We start from the raw sequence: 5,884 nt of genomic DNA on the forward strand, positions 1-5,884 counted from the left end.
GTATTCCCATCCATCACAAGCAAAAAGAAAAGATACTGTGCTGTCTATAGGAAGATGTGACCTACCCTCCTAGGGCAGGACAGGCATTTGGAGTGTTTCCTTCCCACTTATAACTAAAGATTATATTTATGAGAAGTCTCATAATCTGTATTTATAAAGATTTCCCCTCGTGACCAAAAATTAGATTTATGAGATGCCTCTCCTTTTTCCTTTTTCTTTTTATTATCCTTTATTAAATGAATAATTATACTAGAAGGTACCATTTGTTAACCACCTCATTGGTTCCAGGAACAGTAATATGCCCTTTTCATTTAACTTTGAAAACAACCCTTGAACTAAGTGCTATTATTATAAGAATTAAAGAAAGAGGAGAGAAACAAGAAGGGTGGCTCAACAGTCAACAGGTTTATTTCCAACCATGGAGGGACTTCTGACAGAGTTAGTCAGAAGCTGCACTTTCTTATAGACTAAGAGTTTTTAAGGATTCAGGGAGGGAGAGTTTATCAGAGGCTTGGACTGCTTCTGTGTTTCTTTGTTGTGCTTATCTGGGAGGGAGAGTTGTGTGTCTGTTCCCATACCTCTTTCTGCAGCTGCAGGCATATCCCCCGAGTTTGCCTTTAGTTTCCCTATCTTAGTGCACCTGAAGGGAAAGGTTTGTCTGAGATGATGGTGCTCCTGCTCTGTCAATTATCACATCTGGAAGATGAGAATCAAAGGCTCAGAGATGTTATGTAGGGTGCCCCAGGTCACAATCCTATGAGGTGGCAGAGCTGGAATTCAAGCCCAAGTCACTCCAACTTCAAAACCTATGCCCTTAACCATCTCACTAGACATCTGCCAAGAACCAAACCAGCAGGCCCAGGGCAGATGGGATTATGGCAGCTGGGATCAGGGACACACCAGATACAGCCCTTCCTGCCCAGTCATGCCCAGTTCATGCATCCACAGTACCATGCTTCTCTCTGTCTCCTACTTCTGGCTTAGCTAAGCTGCCTTCATTGACCACAGTCCCTGGCTTTGACTTGGTGAACTTGAGAGGAGAAGTCTTCTTCCAATCGAAGGTTTTTCTCCATTGAAGGGTTCGTGGTCTCACAAGCTTCAAGGAATGAAGCCGTGGACCGCAGCGGCAAGTATCACAGCTCAATTAGAGAAACGCGGGGACCCAAAGAGTATGCAGTGGCAAGATTTATTAAAGAGAAAGCGAAAGTAAAGCTCACACACGGTGGACGGGACCCATAAGGGTTGCCGTTTCTGGCTTGGGTGTCTTATGCTTATATCCCCTTATGACCCCTCCTCTTCTCCTTTTTCTGTCCTATAGAATTAGCTATTTCTATCCGCTTGTGGGTTGGCGGGCCTGATTGGTTAAAAACATCAAGCTGCAGCTAGAGCTTAAACTCCCTATGTGATTGGTTCAAGTTTCAATCCCTTAGCTTACAGCTGTGACTCATTTTGGCTGAGGGGAAAGTCGCCTTTGATTGGTTGAACTTTCAATCCCTTAGCTTGCAGCTATGACTCATTTTGGCTTAGGGGAAAGTCCCCTTAGGGAAGTCCCTGTTGACCCAGGAAGCCAACTTAGCCACTTAGTCCCTCAAACTGACTCCAATCTCTGTTTTTTTTTATTTTTTACCACATTTTCTATTTGGGGGGGTCTGCACTATCCTAAGTCCTTGCCTCTGATTTGAGCCCAGTCAACCCTTCCACAGTTCCATTAGTCTGGAACTCCATCAACCCAATCAACCCTCTCTTTTGTAGATCTGTCTGGAACCCCATGTCATGAACCGGATGCCTAGAACAGTTAACATGCGTGAGCTAATAACATTTTCATAATAAAGGTTTATTAGTGTATGTTTATATATGTGTTAGGCATAAATATGCAGGTATCTTTTTTTAAAATTAATACTAAGATGACCCTCTATCTAGCCTGAGGAGATTCCCACAAGTAAACCCTTTGTTTCTTTCAGGGAATTCTTCACAGTCCCACACAATAACCCTGCAAGATCAAAACCAACTCCACACAACCCTCAAGTTCTTGCTGTTTTTCCCAGGCCTAGCTTGCCACCTACTGGCAAGAAACAGGAGCAAGAATCCAGGAGCAAAGACAGAAAAGGAATGACAAGAATTGAACACGATGCCTCTGCTAAATATTCTAGCCCTTAGTTTCTAGTTTTAGATCTCTCAAGGCCCAGATCTGCCAGACACCTACAGAAAGACTGGAAGCAGTCAAAGGAGGCTTTCTCCTCTAAGGCACTGTTAAGATCTGTTTCTTCTTGAAAACAGAGTATGAACAAATCAATGGTCTTTATGCCCCTCATTGGCAGAAGATCTCCTTCTGTTAAGAAACTACAGGATGAATAAGTTCTGGAGACCTAGTGTACAGCATAGTGACTATAGTTAATAATACTGTTTTGTATACTTGAAATTTGCTAAATGAGTAGATCTCAAGTGTTCTTACCACACACACACCAGTGAGGTGATGGATATGTTAATTAGCTCAATTGTGGTAATCTTTTCACAAGGTATGGGTGTATCAGATATCACCTTGTACACCTTAAATATATACAGTTTTTATTTGTCAATCATACCTCAATAAAGCTGGGAGAATAGAAGAGTTTGGGATTTTTTAAGAAATAAAAAGAAGAAAATGCACAAAAAGAATAGCATCAGAGAGAAGGAGAAAATTTGAACTTCCCAGAGAAAATTCCTAAAGACAGCCAAGGAGGAACTTCCCAGCTCAGTCTATCAGCAGACATCATCAAGAACACAGGGCCCACAGCAGTAGGGCTGTGGACAAAGTGCACAATAAAGCATCTTCTTTCTCTTTCCCTGGATCTTGAATCTGTGAGCCCAATTGAACAAACACCAATCAAATGTAAAAGCCTAAACTAAACCCTTACGTTAACATTTTTACTGACCTGCAAACTGAAAGGTTTTCTAAAAAACGATATTTGCCTAGCTCATATAAAATTATAAATTTCTAAAAATATTAAACATATCAAAAGCATGTCATGCAAATTTGATTTCAATGTCTTATATCCACATCCTCACATCATAAACATCTCACAAATAGCAATCCCTTCCAAAATGACTCTTTTTTAAGCTTTAATTTTGTGCCCCAGCGTTCTGTACATCTTGAGAAAAGATGACAATAAGGAAGAAAAACTGACCAGTCCTTCTCATTTTCCTTCCTTCTCACTTGTCAGAAACTAGAAAAAAAATGCCTCATGGGTTTTAGAAAAATTTCAGATTGTATGACCTCTTCTCTGTTTAAAGTGCAGATGAATTTCAAGTTAATCATAACACATTGACCACACATAATCATTTCCTTCCCCTCCTGACACTCAAAATGACAACAACAAAATAAAAAATATATTACTCACAAGGACAAAGAGAATGTGAGAGGACACAACAGCAGGCAAGGGATTTAAACTCATTTGCAGAAACTTGAGTAAGGGTAGACTTTACAGAGTGATGGCATTTTTACCTCACTGCCCACAGACAGCGGTGCTGCTAAGAAGCATGTGAAACAGGTCCCTGAGATCCTGTTCATCTAAAGGCATCTGACATCAAAGGCAGGGGTAGGGCGTGCGGCTAGAGAAAAAAGAATTGGTTGAAGGTCTAGAGATAGAGTAGTTGGAACCCAGGTATAACCCATTGCTACAGAGCCAGAAATGAAATCTACAACCAATGACTTTGTAGGGAAAACAATGCCTTCTCTGACAATATATCACCCTTAAAGGAGAGCATCTGACAGTTTGATGCTTGGCAGGGAAGACAAGGGCATGAGCAGAAGTAGGGGGAGTTGATCAACAGCCCAGTATTTTATAATTCTCTTGCTCCTGCCATCCAGAAGCAATTACAATTCAGCTTTACTCACCTTTCTCTAGCTTAAACCAATGAAAAAACTCCTGCCTGAGGAAAATGCTCAGATTTGCAAACCACTCAGCAGTAGCAAACAAGACAATTCACAAAGACACTCAGAGCTTAGAAGAGAAATATGTACGTAGCATTGACCACTTTCTTCTGCTAGTTTCAGAACTCATCTTTAAGACATTTATTCCCTACAGAGGGGCAAGGTTTTGGTTTTGATGAACCTCCATATCTCACCCACCAAAAACATGCTTTCTAGCAAAATACTACATGTAATACATTCCCATTAAGACCAAACAAATCAAGCATATAGAGCACCTTACTATGGAATTTTACATGCACACCGAAGCACTTATCTCCAAATCATCTAATAACACCGCCAACTAATTTCCTTAGTATCCTGACCTGAGAAAAATCTCAATATTATGGGTATTTCTGGGAATTTGGGGAACATAGTGAAATTTAGTTTCCATACTATAGGTGTCCAAGAAACATTTTGGTTCTGCTGTTTCTACTGTAACATGACCTGTGCCTCTAACTCCCTTCTGAGGCAAGACTGTTTATTCATTATTAAAAGCAGTAGGAGTTTGTAGAAATACAGAAGTATAAAGCAGATGCTATGGGTGACCTGTGCTTATGACCTCAGCCCACCCTGCTGCTGACTTCTGGCATCCCTATGCCTCAGGAGGTCATCTGGCCATAGGAGTGTGTCTGCCTATTGTGTACAACAGGCCAAAGGGCCAAGGAGTTAATGACCCAATGAAGGAGGAGAGTTGGCAGATAAATACCCTAAGCTTCCTGCCCCTCAATGGGACAATTACAGCTATGTCCCAAATACCATGTCAGCAGGATGGAGGTCTGGTTGTCTATCATTCATTGATGGTTTTCCTTGCCTTACTACCCCACTATCTCATAGTACTTCTGGCCACCACCTCTCAAATAAACAACTTATTATATGGAGTCTCCCAAAAAGCCCAGTGGGAGACAAAACATCACAGCAACACAAACCGTTATTCACCATTTGAGAAGCACGTTCTAACATGTTGCTAGAGACTAAATGGTGGACTGCAGAAAAATCACGAGACCACGTGACCAGGGCTACCCATTCAGAAGCTGGGTATGGCCAGATCACTAAATGCCAAGGTCAGGCAGCCACAACATAAATGCCCAGCACAAGGGAAATGCTACTGATACAGCTCCATTGTCTGGAGAAACACCCAGGGTCCTTGGTGACAAGAACACATGTGGAGTGGATGAAACAGCAGAAAGTTTAATAGGCAAGAAAGAAGAAAACAGCACTCCCATACAGAGGGAGGAGGGCTCTGAACAAAAACTCCATGTGTTGCAGAAAGCAGTCAGTTATATTGGGAGGCTGGAGGAAGTAGTGTCTGATTTACATAGGGCCCAGGGGATTGGTTTGACCAGGTGTGTCATTCACATAGCCTGTGAAAGAACTGGCCCTCCCACCCCGGCCTTTTAATATGCAAATGTGGCTACCTGACAGGTCACCATGATGTCCTGCACATGTGGCCTATACTTGGCTGGTCACCATGATGTCCTGCATACGTGGCAACATAGAAAAAGTGGAGGGAACCACCATATTGTGTGTACCTGGCTTTTAGCCACCAGCATTTGCATATCAATGCTTGCAGATCTGGTTTTTCAGGCTGCTTTCTGTTAGAAAAGAAATGTTTTGGGGACTGTTTTTATTACACAAAAAGCCTTACCAAGGACTCTTTTACTCTCTCTAGCTGCCTAAAATAATTTCTTAATAATTCCTGTAATATTTTCTCCCTCAGGAGATGTCAGCCTAACTGCTGTTAGGGGGTTTGGAACGGCAACTCTTTCTGGCTACTTCCTGCTGAAAAGGGGCATCAAGTGGAAAACAACAGCTAGGGTTCCTCCTGGGGTTGATCTAAGGGTCCTCAAAAGAATGGCTTTTCCATGCATGGTTCTGTTTGCAGCACCACTTGGAGTCTGATTGCTTCTAGGCAGGAGGAAACAATTTGAGTATGCA

The 5,884-nt window shown here is 42.0% G+C and overlaps 3 annotated features.

The window, feature by feature from the left end:
* Positions 883-2,082: an enhancer, noted in NCBI's record as "BRD4-independent group 4 enhancer chr5:114404076-114405275 (GRCh37/hg19 assembly coordinates)". NCBI's record gives its function as "activates an origin of replication core promoter dependent on BRD2, P300/CBP, MED14 and CDK7 cofactors, and independent of BRD4, by STARR-seq in HCT116 cells {active_cell/tissue: HCT116}" and the evidence as "EXISTENCE:reporter gene assay evidence [ECO:0000049][PMID:35650434]".
* Positions 1,388-1,697: an enhancer, noted in NCBI's record as "active region_22924". NCBI's record gives its function as "activates an Ori minimal core promoter by ATAC-STARR-seq in GM12878 lymphoblastoid cells {active_cell/tissue: GM12878}" and the evidence as "EXISTENCE:reporter gene assay evidence [ECO:0000049][PMID:35858748]".
* Positions 5,176-5,470: an enhancer, noted in NCBI's record as "tiled region #9285; K562 Activating non-DNase unmatched - State 24:Quies". NCBI's record gives its function as "activates a minimal TATA promoter and a strong SV40 promoter by Sharpr-MPRA in K562 cells {active_cell/tissue: K562}" and the evidence as "EXISTENCE:reporter gene assay evidence [ECO:0000049][PMID:27701403]".

This window comes from Homo sapiens, chromosome 5 (genome assembly GCF_000001405.40).
Source record: "Homo sapiens chromosome 5, GRCh38.p14 Primary Assembly".
Lineage (NCBI taxonomy): Eukaryota > Metazoa > Chordata > Mammalia > Primates > Hominidae > Homo > Homo sapiens.